The sequence below is a fragment of the Homo sapiens genome, chromosome 19, assembly GCF_000001405.40.
Source record: "Homo sapiens chromosome 19, GRCh38.p14 Primary Assembly".
Taxonomy (NCBI): Eukaryota; Metazoa; Chordata; class Mammalia; order Primates; family Hominidae; genus Homo; species Homo sapiens.
In genome coordinates, this window is record NC_000019.10 from 2,837,407 (window position 1) to 2,860,891 (window position 23,485).

The 23,485-nt window shown below is 46.7% G+C and overlaps 1 protein-coding gene across 4 annotated transcripts, besides 4 other annotated features; it reads left to right on the forward strand.

Annotated features, from left to right (window-relative positions):
- Nucleotides 3,530–3,639: a silencer, noted in NCBI's record as "silent region_9812". NCBI's record gives its function as "represses an Ori minimal core promoter by ATAC-STARR-seq in GM12878 lymphoblastoid cells {active_cell/tissue: GM12878}" and the evidence as "EXISTENCE:reporter gene assay evidence [ECO:0000049][PMID:35858748]".
- Nucleotides 3,650–3,839: a silencer, noted in NCBI's record as "silent region_9813". NCBI's record gives its function as "represses an Ori minimal core promoter by ATAC-STARR-seq in GM12878 lymphoblastoid cells {active_cell/tissue: GM12878}" and the evidence as "EXISTENCE:reporter gene assay evidence [ECO:0000049][PMID:35858748]".
- Nucleotides 4,060–4,359: a silencer, noted in NCBI's record as "silent region_9814". NCBI's record gives its function as "represses an Ori minimal core promoter by ATAC-STARR-seq in GM12878 lymphoblastoid cells {active_cell/tissue: GM12878}" and the evidence as "EXISTENCE:reporter gene assay evidence [ECO:0000049][PMID:35858748]".
- Nucleotides 4,069–23,065, forward strand: ZNF555 (zinc finger protein 555). 4 transcript variants are annotated; one of them, NM_152791.5, is made up of 4 exons: nt 4,069–4,169; nt 13,181–13,307; nt 14,062–14,245; nt 14,974–23,065. In NM_152791.5, exons 1-4 carry the CDS (start codon nt 4,167–4,169, stop codon nt 16,544–16,546), a joined length of 1,887 nt encoding a protein of 628 aa, NP_690004.4. In that variant the 5' UTR covers nt 4,069–4,166; the 3' UTR covers nt 16,547–23,065. The 4 variants fall into 4 exon arrangements, with proteins under 4 accessions (NP_690004.4, NP_001166246.1, XP_016881864.1 ...); NM_001172775.2 differs by having other exon boundaries at nt 14,977–23,065; XM_017026375.2 differs by lacking the exon at nt 4,069–4,169 and adding an exon at nt 4,754–4,881 and having other exon boundaries at nt 14,977–23,065.
- Nucleotides 4,400–4,449: a silencer, noted in NCBI's record as "silent region_9815". NCBI's record gives its function as "represses an Ori minimal core promoter by ATAC-STARR-seq in GM12878 lymphoblastoid cells {active_cell/tissue: GM12878}" and the evidence as "EXISTENCE:reporter gene assay evidence [ECO:0000049][PMID:35858748]".
- Nucleotides 23,066–23,485: the final 420 nt, after the last annotated feature.

Consider the following 23,485-nt stretch of genomic DNA (forward strand, 5'->3'; position numbering starts at 1 on the left):
CTCCAGCTCTGGGCAACAAGAGTGAAACTCTGTCTCAAAAAAAAAAAAAAAAAAAAATCTGGGCGTCGTGGTGCACGCCTCTAGGCCCAGCTATTCAGGAGGCTGTGGCATGAGAATAGCTGATGTTTCAGTGAGCCGAGATGGTGCCATTGCACTCTAGCCTGGGTGACAGTGAGACTCTGTCTCAAAAAAAAAAAAAAAAAGTAGTGGACTCTGGATTTGACCTTGAGCACCCTGTACAAAGCCACACCTCATTTGCCAGGCCACCAAGCAGGGGAACTGTTTTCCAAATGTTCTCTTGGAAAGCTGGGTGTAGTGGCTCACAACTGCAATCCCAGTATTTTGGGAGCCTGAGGTGGGAGGATCACTTGAGCCCAGGTGTTCAAAACCAGCCTGGGCAACATTGACCCTGTCTCTGCAAAAAATACAAACATTAGCCAGGCATGGTGGCTCACGCCTGTAGTCCCAGCTACTCTGGGGGCTGAGGTGGAAGGACCGCTTGAGCCCAGGAGGCTGAGGCTGCAGTGAGCTATGAGCATACCACCGCACTGCAGCCTGAGTGACAAAGCAAGACCCTGTCTCAAAAAAATTTTACAAATTTTCTCTTAGGACTCATCTAACTTTCCTGTGAATGTTCCCTTTTTCCTTGAGCTAATGAGGGAGGTTGCCCGTCAGATCTCCTTTCACCCAAATGGAACATGTTGCTTTTCCTTAGAGATCCTTGATCCATGGTCAGTCTAGACCCTATTGGGTTGATGAGTAAGTTTCTTTAGGGGCTCTGTGAACAACTTTGAGAACAACTTTGTGTGCTGGTGCATTGATGTGTTTTTTGGGGAAAGCATCTGTAACTTCCAGCATATTCTTGAGAAGGGTTGACTTAGAAGTCTCCTGACTGTACTGTTTTCAGTCTTGTTATCTCCCTCCAGCAATTATATTTTATTTTTTGAGATGGAGTCTCACTGTGTTGCCCAGGCAGGAGTGCAATGGTGAGATTTCGGCTCACTGCAACCTCTGCCTCTGGGTTCAAGCGATTCTCCTGCCTCAGCTCCCAAGCAGCTGGGACTACAGGCATGCGCCACCACGCCCGGCTAATTTTTTTTGTATTTTTATTAGAGATGGGGCTTTCACCATGTTGGCCAGGCTGGTCTCAAACTCCTCACCTCAGGTTGTCCACCCACCTCAGCCTCCCAAAGTGCTGGGATTAGAGGCGTGAGCCACCGAGCCCGGGCACACTATTTTTAACTGGAAGCTGCTTTCCTATGTCAGTCCTCTAAACATTAATTTTTATAAAAGTGTGTAAAACCTTCCTAGGAAAGATAAAAATAAATTTTAAAAATTGTTTCTAAATGAAATGTCAATATCAGAATTTGAACAACCACTTAAGCTATGGAGTTTTCTGAAATGAATAACCATTAACTGTGTTTGGTTTTCAGCCCCTGTCTATTAAGTGTATTCAGTGTTTTCAGGCCTATCACAATCGTTTTTCCTTTTTTTAAAAAAAATTGAAGGCTGGGTGTGGTGGCTCACACCTGTAATCCAAGCACTTTGCAAGTCCGAGGCAGGTGGATCACCTGAGGTCAAGAGTTTGAGACCAGCCTGGCCAACATGGTGAAACCTCATCTCTACTAAAAAAATAAAAATTAGTAGGCCAGGCGTGGTGGCTCACACCTGTAATCCCAGCACTTTGGGAGGCCGAGGCGGGTGGATCACATAAGGTTGGGAGTTCGAGACCAGCCCGACCACCACGGAGAAACCCCGTCTCTACTAAAAATACAAAATTAGCCAGGCATGATGGCAGGTGCCTGTAGTCCCAGCTACTCGGGAAGCTGAACCAGGAGAATCGCTTGAACCTGGGAGGCAGAGGTTGCAGTGAGCCGAGATCTCGCCATTGCACTCCAGCCTGGGCAACAAGAGCGAAACTGCGTCTCAAAAAAACAAAAAACAAAAAAATTAGCTGGGTGTGGCGGGGCAGGTCTGTAGTCTCACCTACTCGGAAGGCTGAGGTACGATAATCACTTGAACCCGGGAGGTGGAGTTTACAGTGAGTCGGGATCCTGCCATTGCACTCCAGCCTGGGTGACAGAGCAAGACTGAAAAAACCAAAAATTTAAAAAAAAAACACTTCCCTCCTAAGGTTCAATCCAATTCATTTAAACTTTTGCGTGTTTTTCTTATATCAGTTAAAATAGGGATTCAATATCCTTAGAAATATAGCCTTTTCTGTTTTAAATATAACATCTAAAAATTGTAGTAAAATACAAATAACAAATATTTACCATGTTCATCATTTTTAAGTCTAAAGTTCAGTGGCGTTAGATACGTTCCTGTTGTGCAATATTATAGACTTCCTTTTTTTTTTTTTTTTTTTTTTGAGACGGAGTCTTGCTGTGTCCCCCAGGCTGGAGTGCAGTGGAATGATCTTGACTCACTGCAACCTCTGCCTCCCTGGGTTCAAGCGATTCTTTTTGTTTTTGTTGTTGTTGTTTGTTTGTTTGTTTGTTTTTGAGACGGAGTCTCGCTTTGTCACCCAGGCTGGAGTGGTGGAGTGCAGTGGCGCGATCTCGGCTCACTGCAACCTCTGCCTCCCGGGTTCACGCCATTCTCCCGCCTCAGCCTCCCGAGTAGCTGGGACTACAGGCACCCGCCACCAGGCCTGGCTAATTTTTTTGTATTTTTTAGTAGAGACGGGGTTTCACCGTGTTAGCCAGGATGGTCTCGATCTCCTGACCTCGTGATCCGCCCGCCTCGGCCTCCCAAAGTGCTGGGATTACAGGCGTGAGCCACCGTGCCCGGCCTCAAGCGATTCTCTTGCCTCAGCCTCCCTAGCTGGGATTACAGGTGCGCGCCACCACGCCCGGCTAATTTTGTATTTTTAGTAGAGACAGGGTTTTGCCATGTTGGGCAGGCTGGTCTTGAACTCCTGACCTCAGGTGATCCGCCCGCCTCGGCCTCCCAAAGTGCTGGGATTACAGGCGTGAGCCACAGCGCCCGGCCAGCTTTTCAATCTTCCAAATTTTGGGGGGATGTACTTAAAAAAATGATCTGAAAACATTTTCCTTAGAGTTTAAAATATGAACTTGAGAGTTTTTTTGTTTTTTAATATGGAGTCTCACTCTGTCGCCCAGGCTAGACTGCAGTGGGGCGATCTCGGGTCACTACAACCTCCACCTCTCGGGTTCAAGCAATTCTCCTGCCCCAGCATCCCCAGTAGCTGAGATTACAGGCGCCCGGCACCACGCCGGGCTGATTTCTGTATTTTTAGTAGAGAAAGGGTTTCACCATATTGGCCACGATGGTCTCAAACTCCTGAACTCAGATGATCCGTCCACCTCGGTCTCCCAAAGTGCTGGGATTACAGGCGTGAGCCACTGCGCCCAGCCAAATGTGAGGGTTTTAATGAACATCTCATATCTTCTGGTTGATTTGAGCAAAGCTCCTGCCCCCTGCCAGGCTTTGGGTTCGGCCTCCCCCAGACCGGGTCTCCGGATTCGCAGCCCCCTGGGCGGGGTCTCCATGTCGCCCGCAGCGCGATGACGTCACGTCTGCGGGTCCCGCCCCCACGTAGGTCTCGGCCCTTCGGACCCGGCGCCCAGCCCCCGTTCGCCCTGCCAGGCCCGGGCCGCCCGCTTGCATCCACCTCCTGTCCGGACAAGGGGTCGCCTCGTGAGGAAACTAGTCTGGAGTTCCCACGCCCGTCCCGGAGGAGGACGCGGGCGGGGCGCCCGAACTGCGGGGAGAGGGCGATTCCGCCCCGGGCTGAAACCAGTTCGCCCAGAAGCCAGTGTCCCCGCAGGGCGGGACAGCCACGCGTGTTCGCAACGCTCCCGTCACTCACCGGCAGGGGGTGGGCCCTAGGGAACTACCCAGTCAGGACGGGCGGGGGCGGGGCCGAGACAAGTATCCAATGAGGGACGCCCAATCGGAATCCGGGGAACTGCCCAATTTACAGCGCCAGGGGACGGACTGGGGAATTCTCCAATCAGAGTCGCCGACGTTGGCAGCACTGTCCAATCAGAAGCGCGGCTTCCCGAGCTCTGTCTAATCAGGCCCCTGGGACGGGACGCCTCTGTCCTAGCCGTGAGTGCCCCGCCTGCCCCTAGCGGTCCCTGGCGTCCCGGTTCCTGTCGCGCTCACCTGCGCCGGTAGCGAAGAAATCGCCCCGGGACATGGTGAGTGTGGCGCAGGAGAGGATCCCGGTGCGGGGCAGCAGGAACCGGCGACCGCCCGAGACCGCGGCTTGGGGGGAGCTGAGGGACGCGGGGGGCGGCCCCGGCGAGGGCGGCGCAGGACGGGAGCCTGGGCCCCGGGGGTCCCGCCCGGCCCCGCCTCCCGCGCTGAGGTCGCGGCTAGGGCGCTCCGAGCTCCGGGTCCCCGCCCGCCTCTGGCCCCAAGGCTGCAGAGCGGGGAGCGGCGCCCGGAGCCCGACTCCGTCCCCGTCGTCCCGGGGTCCCCGCGTCCCTGCGCTCCCGACCCCCCACGCCCCGCCCGGGGCCGCGACGCCTCGGAGCGTTTCGCTGCGGCTTCGGGACCCCCGGGCCGCGGGAGGCAGAGTCGCCCGAGACCCCGAGGTGCGGTCCAGGCTCCCCCGGGACCCGCCCTGGGGCCGACGCCGCGGTGCCTCCTGGGGTGCGGGTCCCTGGTCGGTGCCGCCTCCGCTCGCGCTCCCGCGGCTCAGCTCCTTGGAGGCCCCGCGCCTCCGGCCGCGGTCTCTGGGGGACCCTGGGTTCCTCCCGGGACAGCCCGGGAGCGGTGGGGCCTCGGCGGGGGCGGAGACGCCCCCACCTGCAAAGGCAGCCCCTGGGGCGTGCGAGGTTTCCTCCCCTGAGTCCCGGTTTTCCTTCTTGAGGACTTCTTGTCCCCTCTGACCCCAAGATGCCTGGGGTAGGTAAGGGGAAAAAAAACAAGGGTTCCTGGTCCCTGGGCTCTCACACACAAGGAAGAAAAGTAACTGAAAAGACTAGAGAAACAAGGGAGAGCGAGGACCCCAAAAGCAAACGCACGCAGACCCACAGCGGGGACGCCCGGGAGGCTGGTGCATTAGTGTCCTCGGACTGCTGTAGCAACTGACTGCAAACGAGGGGGCTAAAACCACGGAAATATATTCTTTCACGGTTCCCTAGAAAGTGTGGATTTGAAGACGTTTCTCAGTTCTGTTTTGAGTACTAGCAATGGGATTCCTTGCTGAGGCAACACCTGAGTTGGGGGTGGGAGGGCGTCCGTCGTGGTAGCCTGGCCAGACTTGACCCCTCCCTGGGTTTGTCACTGTGAAAAGATTTTCCTTTTTTCGAGTCAGCAGTTTTTAGGAAGTGAAACGTACATTTAATTAGTAGAAGTTGGAAGATAAAATATTTCCAGGCCGGGCGCGGTGGCTCAAGCCTGTCATCCCAGCACTGTGACAGGCCGAGGGGAGCAGATTACTTGAGGTCAGGAGTTGGGGACCAGCCTGGCCAACATGGAGAAACCCCGTCTCTGCTAGAAATACAAAAATTAGCTGGGCGTGGTGGCGGGTGCCTGTAGTCCCAGCTACTCGGGAGGCTGAGGCGGGAAAATCACTTGAACGCAGAAGGCGGAGGTTGCGGTGAGCTGAGAACGCGCCATTGCACTCCAGCCTGGGTGACAGAGCGAGACTCCGTCTCAAAAAAAAAAAAAAACTTCCAACGGGGTGAATTTCAGGAAAAAAATTAAAATCTGTGTCTTACATTCCATTTGTTAAACATTCCCTGGAGTGTGTGTCGTTTCTCAGATCTGTTATTTTCTGTTTTCTTTTATTACTATTATTTTTTTGGGAGCTCTGTTGCCCATGCTGGAGTGCACTGGTGCGATCACAGCTCACTGCAGCCTCCACCTCCTGGGCTCAAGCAATCTTCCTGCCTCAGCCTTCTGAACACAGGGACTCCAGGTGTGTGCCGCCATGCCTAAGCTTTTGTATTTTTTTGTTTCTAGGGATGGGGTCTCATTCTGTTACCCAGGCTGGTCTCGAACTCCTGAGCTCAGGTGATTCTCCCTCCTCGACCAGCCTTGTTCTTTTCTTTTGAATGACAATAAATAGGATTCCAGGGCCTAAACTTCAAAATGTTACTGGGGAGAAGAGTCTCAGAGAAACAGAGAAAATCTCCTTTCCACCATACGTGCAGAAAAATGAATACATTGCCACGAAACATGTTGCAGATAAATTATACAAATTTACCAAAATATGTTATTCTCCTTGACATGGTAGAGAATTTTTGACGGTGGATGATTCTGTTCTGCTTCCAATACTGCAGTACCCTTACCTTAATTCTATAATACATTTTTTGTTGTTCCTGAAATAGGTAGAATACAAGATATTTTTCTTGTTTAGATGACAATTTGTCCCAGCTCCTTATATTAAAGTGTTTATCCTCTGCAATGCCGGCCCTGGCACTGATCAGATTTCCCCGAACACAGGGGCTGCCTCAGGGCTGTGTCCCTTTACTTTGTTTTTTTGTTTTGTTTTGTTTTGAGACAGGGTCTCGCTCTATTGCCCAGGCTAGAATGCAGTGGTGCTGTCTCGGCTCATTGCAATCTCTGCCTACTGGGTTCAAGTGATTCTCCTGCCTCAGCCTCTAAAGTAGCTGGGACTGTAGGCACCTGCTACCATGCCTGCCTAATCTATCTTTCTTTTCTTTTCTTTTTTTTCTTTCTCCCTCTTTCCTTTCTCTCTCTCTCTTTTCTTTTTTTTTTTTTTTTTTTTAAAGAGGGAGTTTCACCCTTTTCGCCCAGGCTGGAGTGCAGTGGCAGGAACTTGGCTCACTGCAATCTCTGCCTCCTGTGTTCAAGCAATTCTCCTGCCTCAGCCTCCTGAGTAGCTGGGATTACAGGCATCCGCCACCACGCCCAGCTAATTTTTGTATTTTTAGTAGAAATGGGCTTTCACCACATTGGCCAGGCTGGTCTCGAACTCCTGACCTCAGTTGATCTGCCCGCCTCAGCCTCCCAAAGTGCTGGGATTACAGGCGGGAGCCACTGCACCTGGCCATTTTTATGTATTTCTAGCAGATACAGGGTTTTGCCATGTTGGCCAGGCTGGTCTCGAACTCCTGACCTCAGGTGGCCCGCCCGCCTCAGCCTCCCCGAGTGCTGGAATTATAGGTGTGAACCACCATGCCCCCAACCAGGGTGTTTTAAAATTGGCGGCTGGTCACAGAGGTCCCCTGTGCCTGGCTGTGCCAAGATTTCAGACACCCAGGAGGAAAGCAGATCTTTAGGGTAAACACATTGTTGCATAAACAGTTTCAGCACAATAAGCAACTCCTCTATTGGGATGAGAACCCTCCCCAAATCCAGGCTAGCTTATGCCAGCCAAGGGCCAACTTTGCAGGCAGGACTTTCTAAGGTTAGGGGCCCTCAGGCCTTTGGGTTGGCTCTTCCTGCGTCCACCCCCTAGCCCACTGCACAGGTGTCTCTACCACAGAATTATTATGGGAGGCCCCTATGAAGTAGGAGGAGACCACACTGCAGTAATGATTTCACTTGTGCTGTTTAGGGCTCCTGGACTTAGCCAGGTAAGGTAAATTCCATTGGCTGCAATGGAATCATTATTTTTTTAATTTCCATTTTTATTTCAGATTCATGGGCACATGTGCAGGTTACAAGGGAATATTGCATGATGCTGAGATTTGGGCTTCCATTGAGCTTGTCACCCAGATAGTGGACATGGTAGCCATGAGGAAGGGTGTCAGCCCTTTCCCCCTCTGTCCCTCCATTTGGAATCCCCAGCGTCTATTGTTTCCAGTTTTATGTCCATGTCTACCCAAGATTTACTTCCCACTTATAAGTAAGAACATGCCATATTTGGTTTTCTGTTTCTGCATGAGTTTGCTGAGGATAATGGCCTCCAGCTGCATCCATGTTGCTGCAAAGGACATGATTTCGTTCTTTTTTATGGCTGTGTAGTATTCCATGGTATAGATGGACCACATTTTCTTTAGTGCACTGTCTTTGGTCACCTAGGTTGATTCCATGTCTTTGCTATTGTGAATGCTGCTGCAGTGAACACACAAGTGATGTGTTTTTTGGTAGAATGATTTCTTTTCCTTTGGGTAGATGCCCAGTAGTGGGATTGCTGGGTTGAATGGTGGTTCTGTTTTTAGTTCTTTGAGAAATCTCCATACTGCTTTTCATAGAGGTTGTACTAACTTACATTCCCTCCAACCATGTGTAAGCATTCCCTTTCACAGCCCTGCCAACATCTGTTATTTTTTAGCTTTTTAATAACAGCCATTCTGACGGGTGTGAGATGGTATCTCATCGTGCTTTTTATTTGCATTTCTCTGATGATTAGTGGTGTTGAGCATTTTTTCATATGCTTGGACCACAAAGGTCTTAGAAAGCCAGGTGGCTTATTAAGTTTCTGTAGTATTCTCTTCCTTCCCCCGTTACTATTTTTTTACTGGAGAGAGGCACCAATTCCTGCACAGCATAACTCTGGCCAGTAAGTCAAACTTAGACCTGGGTGTCTTCCAGGGACAAGGCAGTGCCCTGAGTGCCAGGGTAAGTACAAAACAAGTCCAACCCCCTAGGGGACAGGTAGTCAGTCCCCTTGGAAGCACATTGTTTGCAATGGTCGGGACACCCCAAGCAGGACTTAACATTGGTCAGGCAGTCGGGTTAGCAGGGCTCCCAGTGTGACCTCCCACTGTGGGCCTCCTGTCCTAGGGTTCTCAGTGTAGACCGAATAATTCAGTTTAGTCCTCAGTTTCAGAGGCTCTGCCTGAGGCATCATTTTCAAGCAGTTTTGCATGTCTGTGATACCAGTTCATTGACCTCTCCAGTATGGACGACACCTGGAGATGTCCTTTGTGGGAAGTTCAGGAACTGGGGCCACTTGCTGCTGTCTCAGGGTTGTCGGATGTGATCAGAGGCTTAGCAGCCAACCTGAATTCAGAGCACTCACAGCTGCATGCAACACTTCCTTCAGGAAGAGGGGAGCGCTTCGGTCACAGCTCTGAATCAGACAGTTCCATCCAAGGTCAAGCCAGTCCTTCACTGTGGGCAACTGAGTGAGCCACATGGACCAGCCAGCACCCCTGATGTTTTTCGTAGTTCAGGGCCTTACCCGGGAGTGTCTAACTCTGCAGTGTTTCCTGAATTAGAGTCCTGTTCATTGAGCCTAGCCCTGCTGTCAGGTCAGCATAGTGAAGGCTGAGTTAGCAGTGGACATAGTGAGGATGAATTAGCAGTGGGCAGTGTCAGGTTTTAGCTTACAGTCAAGTCCACGCCGTTGGGATCTGAGTTCAGAATTCCATAAAACACCGAAGGCTTTGCTTCTGCAGCAGTAAAGCTAGGTATTGCCGGGTTGGACAGCTGTGTTCCAAGATCAAGTTGCAAGCAAGAGTTTCCTAAGCGCTTTTGGTCTCGTGAATCTTAGAGTCCAAATTGACAGTTAAAAATATGCACATGTGGTTTGAAAACCATCAACTCTTGAGGTTGTCAGAAATAGGTTTTCATAAGAGCGCATTAACAAACTAGAAACTACTACTTCACATTCCAAAAGTGTATCTCCACTTAGAGATTGCCTCTCTTTTCATTTGTTTCCCTTTTCCCTGAACCTCCAATAGGAAAAATGATAGTAAAAAATCAGTTGTGGAGACCTAATCTTAATACTTAGAGTTTAAATTCCAATCCATACACCAGGGGCAAAGAGCAAAGAAGTTGTGTCTGTCACTTAAAAAAACAAAACAAAAAACTGATTGAGATGATCCCTGTAGTGCTTTTAAAGTGACAAATATTTTACCATTTTCTCTCATTTTTATCACACATGCCGATGCGGTAGTATTCCTCGTCTCTTAGAGCTTCTGGTAGCCCCAAGTGTTCCTTTGCTTGTGGCACCATAATTCAGTCTCTCCCTCCATCTTCCACGTGGCCACCTTCCGTGTGTGTTTCTGTCTTCATGTGACATTTTCCTCTTATAAAGACACCAGTCAGCGGAGGGGGGAGGGATAGCATTTGGAGATATACCTAATGTTAAATAACGAGTTACTGGGTACAGCACACCAACATGGCACATGTATGCGTATGTAACTAACCTGCACATTGTGCACATGTACCCTAAAACTTAAAGTATAATAAAATGGTTAAGATGGTAAATTGTATGCTATATGTATTTACCACAGTTAAAAAATTGGAGAAAAAATCCTTGGAATATAGTAGATGCAGGTTCAAATCCTGCCTTCAGCATTTATTAGCTGAACTGATGCTAATAAAGTTACTTAATCTGAAAAAAATTTAAAAAAAATAAAAAATAAAGACACTAGTCATATTGGAGTAGGGCCCATTGGATTAGATGATGTCATTTTACTTGATTACATCTGCAAGGATCCTATTTACAAATAAGGTTATAGTCACAGGTACCAGGAATTAGGACACGGACATATCTTTCTGGGGGACCACGTCACAAGAAACCGCTGGCAGTTCAGCATTTACAGGGATAGCATTATGCTAGCAGGGAAGACCATGGCTGGTCAGGAGGTAAACCAAGGGGAAGCAGGGAACACTCCAGCCTTTTTTTTAACCAGCAACAGGTTTTAAAAAAGCACGGAGTGTCCCCTGCCTCCCCAGGGTTTACCTAAAGTTGTGCTCCAGCCTTGGTAATTAACTTTCTTTTCCCTCCCAATGCAACACAAACTTTTACCATTTTCCTCACCCAAAGCTTACCTTTCAGAACATGGGGGCCCTTTCTCCTACCTGGAGAAGAAAACAAAAACCAAACGCTGCTCTTTGTTTTCTTTTCTTTTTTTTTTTTTGAGCTGGAGTCTGGCTCTGTCGCCCAGGCTGGAGTGCAGTGGCGCCATCTCTGCTCACTACAAGCTCCGCCTCCCGGGTTCACGCCATTCTCCTGCCTCAGCCTCCCGAGTAGTTGGGACTACAGGCGCCCACCACCACGCCCGGCTAATTTTTTTGTATTTTTAGTAGAGTCGGGGTTTCACCGTGTTAGCCAGGATGGTCTCAATCTCCTGACCTCGTGATCCACCTGCCTTGGCCTCCCAAAGTGCTGGGATTACAGGCGTGAGCCACCGCACCCAGCCACCCAGGATTTTTTTTAGATGAAGTCTTACTGTGTTTCTCAGGCTGTAGTGCAGTGGCACGATCTTGGCTCACTGCAACCTCCACCTCCCGGGTTCAAGCTATTCTCGTGCCTCAGCCTCCCAAATAGCTGGGATTACAGGCACGTGCCACCACGCCCGGCTAATTTTGTATTTTTAGTAGAGATGGGGTTTCACCATGTTGGCCAGGCTGGTCTCAAACTCCTGACCTCAAGTGATCCGCCTGCCTCAGCCTCCCAAAGTGCTGGGGTGACAGGTGGGAGCCATTGCATCTGGCCAGTACCCAGGATTTTTATTGCTGGCTGATCACATAAGCATCCCCTGCCTGGTATGTACACAGATTCCATTTCCAGAAGGAAAGCAGCTGTTCAGCATTAACAGTGGTATTTGCACCATGAGTAATCTGAATTAGGGTGGGGGTGAACCTTCCCAAAACCCAAGTTCCCAGACACCAGCTAAGGGCAACATTGCCAGAAAGCCGTTCTAAGGATAGAGTCTAAGGCCCGCAATGTTAACTTCTTTCGGCATATGGGAACTTTATTATTAAAAAACACTGCAAATACACTGCACTATGAGCAATTAAGGCTAACCCAGGGAGCTCATATTGTCCCCTGTGCCAGTAGGAGGGTCCTGTAGATACTCTGCAGCTCTGTGAATAGGACTGTTCTAGCATCAGAATTGCTGCGTGACAGTATTTTGTCTGTCTCCTGCTCATAGACGGAAAGGAGTTGATCTTTCTCAGCAGGTTTGAGGGAACCGTGCATCTCGGGGGTTCCATGCACCTGTGCCCAATATGCAATATGGAAATAATGAGAAATTGAGAGTGCAGCCTCTAGAGTGGTATGTGGGGAATCACTTCCTCCTGGAATTTGAGACACAGAATTTTCTAGGAAGGCACTATTTTGTCTATGTCTTTTATAACCATTGAAAATTCGTAGTCAAATGGTTTGGACTTCAGTTAACTCCTTTGCAAAGTGGGACTCTTAACTTTATCCTTAAGGTTAGCAATAATACTTTTTTTTTTTTTTTTTCTGAGACTGAGTCCTGCCCTATCACCCAGGCTGGAGTGCAGTGGCATGATCTTGATGCATTGCAACCTCTGCCTCCCGGGTTCAAGCAATTTTCGTGCCTCAGCCTCCCAAGTAGCTGGGACTACAGGCGTGCACCACCATGCCCGGCTAATTTTTTTTTTTTTTTCAGTAGAGATGAGGTTTCACCATGTTGGCCAGGCTGGTTTTGAACTCCTGACCTCAAATGATCTGCCTGCCGCGGCCTCCCAAAGTGCTGGGGTTACAGGCATGAGCCACCACACTTGGCCCAAGAATACTTTCTTTCGGCTCTGGTGAAAAGAGCTGTTTTGGCATTGTGTGCACCTCGCTCTGTGTATACTTAGTGAGTGTGCCTGTGTGTACGAGAGAGAGCCAGCGTGTGAGAGAGAGAGAACCCAGAATTAATTGTTGGGCTTCCGTCACTGAGGCTCGAAGTATAGGGAATGTGTGGAGGTCTACGTTCTCGTGTCTTTTTCCTCTTTCCTAAGGTCTAATTTCTCAATAACTTCTAGTTTCCAAGTTAAAATCAATACTTCTCAAAAGAATGTTTTCATTCAGCCAGTTGGACCAGGAGTTCTTTAAGACGCTATGGCTACCTGGCCCTTATGAAGGAAATAGAAGGGAATGTTCCCAATCCTTCAGTGTTTTTATCCCATAAAACTTCAGTTTTGACCCTGTGCTTTGTGTAGTGCCGAATGATGGTGTGTGCAGCAGGGGAGGAGCTAAAACGGTTTGTGTGACAAGGCACTGATGGTCTTAAAATACAAGTATTTGTTTCACTTATATAGCATTTGTTTGATATCTCCAATGTGGTCTGAATCCTTTTGATAGAGAATAATGTCTTCAGTTGGTCCCAGTAAAAGTATAGAGAGAAATTCAGTGTGTTAATGGTCCTGTGAAATCTATGAGGAAGTGAGTGTAGACAGGAAGGAAGAGGTGTGACAACTGAGTCACAGGGTAGATGTCAGGGAATCACAGAATCTTGTTTGAACTACATACGAATTGAGTACAATGCTCCTGGGCTCTCGGTCTCAACCATCCTCCCATAAATATGTTGAATTGTTTTAGGACTCAGTGGTCTTTGAGGATGTGGCTGTGGACTTCACCCTGGAGGAGTGGGCTTTGCTGGATTCTGCTCAGAGGGACCTCTACAGAGATGTGATGCTGGAGACCTTTCAGAACCTGGCCTCAGTAGGTAAGGATGACATCATTCCTTCCTTCACGTAGTTATTGAGAGAACAAGTATTTCTTACACATCAGACCTGTTCCAAGGCTTGGAATGTGGAAAGGGAATAAATTGGTAAATAAGACAGACATAGTCACAGCTGTCATAGAGCTAGAATGTAATGTTTTTCCATGAGAATGAGAATCTGTATTTCAGCTTTTTATTTTTGTAGAGAAAGCTCCCTTCATGTCGTCATTGTGGATATAGCTTTGATAGGCCTAGTGAAATTTGTTTGTGCAAGCCAGTGAAAATTTGATTTTTTTTTTTTTTTTTGAGATGGAGTCTCACTCTGTCGCCCAGGCTGGAGTGCAGTGGTGTGATCTCGACTCACTGCAACCTCTGCCTCCCGAGTTCAAGCAATTATCTGCCTCAGGCGCCCAAGTAGCTGGGATTACAGGCGAGCGCCACCATCCCTGGCCAATTTTTGTATTTTTAGTAGAGACGGGGTTTCACCATGTCAGCCAGGCTGCTCTTGAACTCCTGACGTTGTGATCCACCCGCCTCAGCCTCCCAAAGTGCTGGGATTACAGGCATGAGCCACCGCGCCTGGCCGTGAATTTTTTTTTTTAATAATTTTTCTATGCTTACTAATACTGTGTTGATTGAGTTGCTTACCTTTTTGACCATTTTGTGTTTAATGAAGTCCTGAGATAGCTAAACTCCTCAGTGTCGTTTTCCGCTAACAAGTGCCTTCTTATATGATTTGTTTACTTTTTGGTTTCAGATGATGAAACTCAATTTAAGGCCAGTGGGTCAGTTTCTCAGCAGGATATTTATGGAGAGAAAATACCCAAGGAATCTAAAATAGCCACGTTCACCAGAAATGTTTCCTGGGCCTCTGTTTTAGGAAAAATTTGGGACAGTCTTAGCATCGAAGATCAAACCACAAACCAGGGGAGAAATCTCAGGTGAGTTGCACTCACAAGAGAACATAGTATTTCAGGAGAGAATCTTAGTCTGTCATTAAACTTTAAAAAAGCAAGCAAACAGAAAACTCATCCAAGCCTAGCTCCAATTTGTTTAATCCACAGAATTTTTACAAAAAAATATTTCTTTAAATGTGACATAGACAGTGAGTGACATTAGAAACATAATTCAGATGGAAACCATTATCAAGAAACCCTAGGCCAGGTACGGTGGCTCACACCTGTAATCCTGGCACTTTGGAAGGCTGAAGTGGGCAGATCACTTGAGGACAGGAGTTCGAGACCAGCCTGGCCAACATGGTGAAACCCTGTCTCTACTAAAAATACAAACATTAGCAGGGCATGGTGCCGCAGGCCTGTAATCCCAGCTACTCGGGAGGCTGAGGCAGAATTGCATGAACCCAGGAGGCAGAGGTTGCAGTGAGCTAAGACTGCACCACTGCACTCCAGCCTGGGTAACAGAGTAAGACTCTGTCTCAAAAAAAAAAAAAGAAAGAAAGAGAAAGAAACCCTATACATAAGAAACACTGTTTTAATAATGGCAGTGGTCAAACCATCTTCCAGGGCATTCAGTTTATTTCATTTTCAGACAGTTCCCATGGGGTGAAAAACCTATGCTTTCACTGAAAATGGTTAAGATGCAGTCCTAATCCTAATAAATACTAACAAATCATTATTAATCAAACCAATAACATGCTTCTCATTTTTAGTAGAAATCATGGGTTGGAGAGACTCTGTGAAAGTAATGATCAATGTGGAGAAGCCCTCAGCCAGATTCCACATCTTAATCTGTACAAGAAAATTCCACCTGGAGTAAAACAGTATGAATACAACACGTACGGAAAAGTCTTCATGCATCGCCGCACATCCCTCAAGAGTCCCATCACAGTTCACACTGGACACAAACCATATCAGTGCCAGGAATGTGGGCAGGCCTACAGTTGTCGTTCACACCTAAGAATGCATGTGAGAACCCACAATGGAGAGAGACCCTATGTGTGTAAATTATGTGGGAAAACCTTTCCTCGTACTTCCTCCCTCAATCGGCATGTAAGGATTCACACTGCTGAGAAAACCTACGAATGTAAGCAATGTGGGAAAGCCTTTATTGACTTCTCAAGTCTTACTAGTCATCTCAGAAGTCACACCGGAGAGAAGCCATATAAGTGTAAGGAATGTGGGAAAGCTTTCAGTTATTCCTCAACGTTTCGAAGACACACAATAACACACACTGGCGAGAAGCCATATAAATGTAAGGAATGTGCGGAAGCCTTTAGTTATTCCTCAACTTTTCGAAGACATATGATTTCACACACTGGAGAGAAGCCACATAAATGTAAAGAATGTGGGGAGGCCTTCAGTTATTCTTCGGCTTTTCGAAGACACATGATAACACACACTGGAGAGAAACCCTACGAATGCAAACAATGTGGGAAAACCTTCATTTATCTCCAGTCCTTTCGAAGACATGAAAGGATTCACACTGGAGAGAAACCCTACGAATGCAAACAGTGTGGGAAGACCTTCATTTATCCCCAGTCCTTTCGAAGACATGAAAGGACTCATGGTGGAGAGAAACCCTATGAATGCAACCAGTGCGGGAAAGCATTCAGTCACCCCTCCTCCTTTCGAGGACACATGAGGGTGCACACTGGAGAGAAACCCTATGAGTGCAAGCAATGTGGGAAAACTTTCAATTGGCCCATATCTTTACGAAAACATATGAGAACACATACTAGAGAGAAACCCTATGAATGTAAGCAGTGTGGGAAAGCCTTCAGCTTGTCTGCTTGCTTTCGAGAACATGTGAGAATGCACCCTGAAGACAAATCCTATGAATGCAAGCTATGTGGGAAAGCTTTCTATTGCCACATATCCTTACAAAAACATATGAGAAGACATACCGCAGAGAAACTCTATAAATGCAAGCAGTGTGGGAAAGCTTTCAGTTGGCCTGAACTTTTGCAACAACATGTGAGAACGCACACTGTAGAGAAGCCCTATGAATGTAAGGAATGTGGGAAGGTCTTCAAATGGCCATCATCTTTACCAATACATATGAGACTGCACACTGGAGAGAAACCTTATCAATGTAAGCATTGTGGGAAAGCATTCAATTGTTCCTCATCCTTAAGGCGACATGTGAGAATACACACTACAGAAAAACAGTATAAGTGTAATGTAGGACATCCTCCTGCAAATGAATTCATGTGCAGTGCTTCAGAAAAGTCACACCAGGAGAGAGATCTGATCAAAGTTGTAAATATGGTGTTGCCTTTATGAGTTCCTTATCCTGAAAGTGGACACTCAAGGAGTGTGTCTGTAGTTCATTTGCAAATAAACATTTAGTTGAAAAATAATTCTCCAAATACTCTCAGCTATCCTACATGAATTTGAACAGGTAGTTTCTTACGATTCAGTAAATAAAACTTTCATCTTAGAGTGTTTTGGACTCATGGATGATTTGAAGTGTATTTTTAATATGCAAGTAGGTTCAAGTTTTATTTAATTTCTTAAATTGTAACTGACTTAGTGTGACAGGTATTGGATATTACGTATCTATTATATTTTCCACCTTTTTTACTGGGAGTATTTTTATTGTTTGGCCAGAGGAGCCTTATTCCATTTTTTAAGAAGTAGTTGGCAGAATTTTGTAATTATGCAAAGTTGTTTAAGGAGTATAGCCTCAAATGAATTGTAATTTTTAATGTTTGCCCATTGCTGTTTGTCTTTGCTTGTGATTGTGAATTGGACAGTAGGCTTTGACTTGTGATGTGACGGAGAAATCCAGAGTTGCAGATAGTTCTTCTGCATTGTTGTCAGTGTGGGTAGTGTTAGGAACTTCATTTGCTGGAATGCATTTCCTTTATGGTTCCATGTCCAAATTTACCAATAGCAATAACTTGAATGAAATTTAGAATGAAGAAGAAGTAAGTCATCGCTGAGCTTTTGGGGTCACATTAAATGGAGATGGACAGATGCATAGGGGCTTTGTGAACATCAACCTTCAGCTTATTTTCCAGATTCTTATTCCTGCCAATCAAGAGTACCATCAAAAGAAACACTTAAGTGCTTGATTTCCACTGTGTCAGAGGTGTAGTCTTCCTCAGACATCTCCATTAACTTGATATTAGGGATATTCCTGTGTGGTCAGTCACCTAGAGTCTGGATTTTTCTCAAAACCCTGCATGACCTCTTGACCACTGATTCAGACTGTCTTGTTTGGCAGTCTCTGAGCTTCTGATTCTCCCGTTCTGTAGATCTTAACATATTTGCATGGGGTCTAATTTATATAGTGAACACCTTGTTATCTTAATACTTCCAGTGGCTCTGTGATCCTGATTCCACCACGAAAGCCACAGTGTTGCAGTCAAAGAAGAAAAACAACACATGGGACTTTGTACCCTATTGCATTTTTAAGTGTGCCTGCCGAGTCCTATGTGAGAACAAATACCTTCCTCATATATTAGATTTAGGGAGATTTCTGTTACTCAGAACTAAATGCAGTTTCTTGATATAGGTTAAATTATTAGGTTTGATTATGTATCATTAAAAATAATGTGGATTTTGTTTCAAGGAAAACCTTCTGTAGATATTTCTTAGAAATATCCTGTTTAGCTGGGCACAGTAGCTCATGCCTGTAATCCCTGCACTTTGGGAGGCTTGAGGTCAGGAGTTTGAGACCAGCCTGGTTAACATGGTGAAACCCTGTCTCTACTAAAAACACAAAAATTAGCCAGGCATGGTGGTGAGTACCTGTAACCCCAGCTACTTGGGAGGCTGAGACAGGAGAAGTGCTTGAACCTAGGAGGCGGAGGTTGCAGTGAGCCAAGATCACACCACTGCACTCCAGCCTGGGAGACGGGGAAAGACTCCATCACACAAGCAAGAAAAGAAAAAAAAATCCTATTTACTGTGCTTTCAAATTAGTTGTTTAGAGACTATATTAATTTCCCAGGGCTGCCATAACAAAGTACAAAAACTGGGTGACATAGGAAAACAAACTTTTTGTTTCTCAGTTCTGGACCCAGAAATCCAGAAACAAGGCATTGGCAGGACCATGCTTTTTCTGAAGATGCTAGGGAAGGATCTGTTTCAGAACTCACCTAGCTTCTGGTAGTTCCTTAGCTTGTGGCAGCATAACTCTAATTTTCACATGGCATTCTCCCTGTGTGTGTGTCTCTCCATGTGACAATATTTTTATACATACACACCACTCATTGGGTTAGGCCCCACTCTACTTCAGTATGATTTTACCTTAACTAATTACATTGGCAACAGCTCTCTTTTCGCATACTGAGGCACCGCGAATTAAGATTTCAACGTAAAAATTTTAGGAGACCCAATTCAACCCATAACACTAAGAAATGTTATTTTTTGTTTACCGAGAGAATTACAGATTTCAAATCAACTTTGTAATTTTGATAATTTAAGCATGTTACATTTTGAATCAGTATTACCAAGTATATACAAATACAGGTATTTTTTCATATAAATGTTATTTTTAATTGCTGTATACTTAACATTTGCCATTAAAATGATTTTTTTTTTTTGAGACAGAGTCTCGCTCTGTCACCCAGGCTGGAGTGCAGTGGCACGACCTTAGCTCACTGCAACCTTCATCTCCCAGGTTCAGTTGATTCTCCTGCCTCAGCCTCCCGAGTAGTTGGGATTACAGGCATGCACCACCACACCCAGCTAATTTTTTTATTTTTGGTAGAGATGGGGTTTCACCATGTTGGCCAGGCTGGTCTTGAACTCCTGACCTCAGGTGATCTGCCCACCTTGGCCTCCCAAAGTGTTGGGATTACAGGCATGAGCCACCACACCCGGCCTAAAATGATTTCTTATTTGTGGTTAATAACAATTAAAAAGCGGAAATAATGGTTTTGTCAAGGCCCTCTACCCAGAAACCACCAGGATCACACTGGTAGTCAAAGAAAATTTGCTGTGTTGAGTTGAAGTTTGAACACATGATCAAGAAAGGGCTGTGGCTTGTATCAGAGGGTGTTTAAAAGGATTTACTATCAGATTTGGCCTTGTGTTCTGTGATTTTGGTGAGCGTTCAAGGAAGCCAGGCTTTGGTCTGGATTGGATGTTCTCAGGTCATGAATATAATTCTCTGGGAACTCCCAAAGTTCTCATCTACAAAGCAGAAGTTAATTGGAGCTGAAAACTAATCAGTAAAGCCACAGCAGCCAGTCATATGGGGGAGAAGAGGGGAATGTTTGATGGTTTTTGTGGTTTAGAGGTGAGTTCCGGAAAAAAAGAAGACATGTTTGACATCCTCAAACGAGAAAATTTTTCATGTGTTTTATAGGCCAAGGAGGCAGAAGCTTTTGTTTTAATGAGCCAGAAAGCCCCAAAAGCCTATTTAAGTTTTCTCAGGTATCATTTCAACCTCTGAACTTCCAGAATTAACTAGGGAAGAGGAAAAACATGTAACACCTTAGAGTTTTATTAAAGAGCAAACAATATCCAGTAATCTCCATTACTTTCCATGTTAACATAAGTTTTCATAACGCTCTATAGATGAATGTGATTTGGCAGTCACTTGTATTTCTTAACACCCACTTACCCATCATTCCCTCTTAGATGAAAAAAGTTAAGCACGGGGACAACAGAGTCTTGTATATTCATGTAGCTCATGATGATGGAATCAAGTTTGAAGGCTTAACCTGTGCTTAACCTATATTGGGCATTGTCAAGACTTAAATTTAGAACACTGGAAAGCAAGTATAATTAATTTTACAAATAGGGCATCAAATTTTACAAAGACTCCTAAGGCTATATGGTATTCCTTTTATAAGACATGGAAAAGGCAAAGATAAGGGAAACGAACAAATCGCTGGTTAGAAGTAGGGGATTTGAGTACATATGGGCTTAAGAGTGTTCTGTCATGATTGTAGTGGTGAAAACAAGCATTTGCAAAAACTCATAAGGCTACTCTTAAAATAGCAAATTTTGTTGTATGTATATTTTAAAGTTAAACAATAAAAATGCTTTCAGTTTATTAAAGAACTCAAGACCAGGTGCAGTGGCTCATGCCTATAATCCCAGCACTTTGGGAAGCTGAGGCGGGAGGATTGCTTGTGGCCAGGAGGTTGAGGCTGCAGTGAACTATGATCATGCACTGCACTCTACACTGGGCGACAGAGCAAGACCCTGTCTCAAAAAAAAAGGAATACAAAACATTCCTGAAACTTGACATGTAAGTTCGCAATAAGACTTTTCCCTAGCTGGGCGCGGTGACTCATGCCTGTAATCTCAACATTTTGGGAGACTGAGGCAAGAGGATCACTTGAAGTCAGGAGCTAGACACCAGTCTGGGCAACATAGCGAGACCTCAACTCTACCAAAAAATTAAAAAGTGAGCCAGGCGGGGTGGTGCACGTCTGTGGTCCCAGCTACTTGGCAGGCTGAAGCAGGAGGATCACTTGAGGCCTTGAGGAGCCATGATCGTGCCACTGCACTCCAGCTTGGGTGACAGAGCAAGACTGTCTCAAAAAATAAAAATAAAAAAACAAGACTTCCCCCACCATCTTGGAATTCTCTGGAGGAAATGTAGGGCTGGTTGACAAGGACTTGTGCCTCGTCAGACCCTGTTTGAAACCCAGTCTGAAGTTTTGAAACACCCACAAGGGCCATACCTGACTTTATCTCACGCACATAACAGGAGAGAAGAAGGAGGTCTTCCAGAATCTGTCTTTGAGTTTACACCAGGTTCTTCCCATCTGATCTTTGGGAATGCTGTGGTTCTGAAACATAAAACGGGGACCCTACACTTCTTCCCAGGAATATCCTGCCTGGGAGCATCCTGATCCTGTCTTCAGACAAGGGGCATCCGCATCTTGTTTTCTAGGGCCTTTCCTGAGGCCACTTCCAGCTCCAAAGTTCTCATCTCAAGCTCAGCTCTGTGTCTTCATGCTGGGAAACGTCTTTATGGATCCCCAAACTCCTCTTGCTGTTGGGAACACGTGGCAGCCCTGCGTTGTGAGGTGAGAGAAGAGGCAGTGGCAGAACCCATGCCATGGAGACACGCCCATCAGCCACAGCAGCTCCTGCTACTGCATAAATCCATAGGCACAATCACACGCCTCACGGTGTCAACATCTCCCATGACATCACAAAGATGCCCAGCTGGGACCCACCTACAGTGATGGGGTGATGGGGTTTCACCTATAAGCGGGCAAACAGGCACTCCTCCTCACTGTCCAGTCACCTGACGTGCTTTTTCTGCGCACTCAGGTCGTGACACCCCAGGAGGTGCCTATCGCGCCCCAAGCTCCTCACGTGCCTCCTCCCCACAGTCCAGGACGCGTCTTACTAACGCCTCACCAGAGCGCATGCGCCCTCCTCAGGAGCAGCCTCAAAGCGCGCAGCCTCAGCCCATTGGCCTGCGGGAAGTGGAGTTCCCGAACAGAAGCCCCTCAGTCTCCGGAAGCCCCGCCCGGCAGACTGTTCCCAGGATGCAACACGGGCTCGCGTCTAAAAGAGCTGTGCTTTGTTGGGGCTATCTGGGAGTTTCCGCCTTCCATGAAGTGCGCAGGCGCACTTAGGCGAGGCGGGGCGACTCTAGGAAGTGGAGACATCAAGAGTGGTACTGGAAGTGGCGGAAGCTCTCCTCTTGCCCTCTTCAGCTTCCGGTGTGGTGGGTCCCGGATATCGCGTGGCTGTGGCAGGTAGACAGCCCGTGCTCCAGAGGCCTTCATCTTGTGATGGCAGATGTACTTGAGTAGACACGACAGACGGGGAAGGACCCTGATGGTCCGAGGGACCTTCCACAGCAAGTAGAAGGCACTGCTGTGAATATGATGGCGTCAGAGGTGACTGCAAAAAAGGACAGGGCAGCTGGGCGAGGAAGAGATACCAGTGATGTCCTAACTGAGCTCCCTGGGTCTGGTAGTGAGGAGCTCAGTCTTAGAATATGAGCCGTGTCAGGGGCTACAGCATCATCACTCTTGTCCTGTCGCAGACTCAGGCTCCCTGTTCTCAGGTTCTTATGTAGACAGTGAGGGCTCAGGGAGGCTCCCACCACCACCACCACCAGCACCACCACTCCATCAAAACGGCTGAAGGACCTTCCTTTAGGGTTCGGGGGATCTCCTCCTTCCACAAGGGATGGATGTGAAGACAACTCATTCTTTGATGTTCAGATGGTTGTGGCCCTCTGATGAGATGTGTGCACACCTTGCCAAATGCATATGTCTGTTGAGCCTGGACATTAAGTATTTCTTGATGTTCTTCTGTGTAACAGGTGATGTCCTAGGTGCTGCAGTGAACAGAAGAGACAAAATATCCTTGTTCCCTTGAAGCTAATGTCGTAGGGGCCCAAAACAAAGCAAACAAACAAAAAAAAGGAATGCAAGTCAAGTACACTTTGTATGGACAGTGGTAATTCCTAAGAAGGAAAACAAAGATGGACTTAAGGGGTGCAGAGGGCCTGGACTATGTGTGTCTGTGGGATAGTCTGTTACTACCTCTGGGACTCTCATCTCTTGAGTGTGCTTGGGTGTGTCCAACCGTTTTTCCTAGTGACAAAGTCTGGGTAATTCTGTGGGGACATATATTGGTGTATCTGGGAGGTCCCATGTGTCTCAGTGGTGGTCCCTGTTTTCAGGAAAGAGTGTCTGTGAATGTCCATGTGTCTCACTGCACAGCTGTGATTTTTCTGTGTCTCTGTGTTTTCCAGTCTTTGTGTGATGAAATATAAAGGCCTAGCAGGCTCAGAGTTATTAATGAATTGTACTTAAGCGTTGAGAGGCATATATTTATTGCACTATTAAATTCTTCCAAAATATAGTTAAAAAAAAAAGCTTCACAGTTTTTTAGTAAGTTTGAGTGAATTTTTTTTTCAGGGAGTGGGGAACAGAGTCTCCATCCATTGCCCAGGCTAGAGTGCCGTGGTGCAGTCTCAGCTCACTGCAACCTCTGCCTCCTGGGTTCAAGCGATTCTCGTGTCTCAGCCTCCCAAGTAGCTGGGATTACAGGTGTGTGGCACCATGCCCAGCTAATTTTTTGTATTTTTAGTAGAGATGGGGTTTCACTATGTTGGCCAGGTGGGTCTCAAACTCCTGATCTCAAGTGATCTTCCACCCACCTCAGCCTCCCAAAGTGCTGGGATTACAGGCGTGAGCCACTGCGCCCAGCCTCAAGTTGATTTTTTAAAGTTTGGCATTCATTGTTTATTTAAAAAACAACAATTGGGCAGGGACCAGAGGC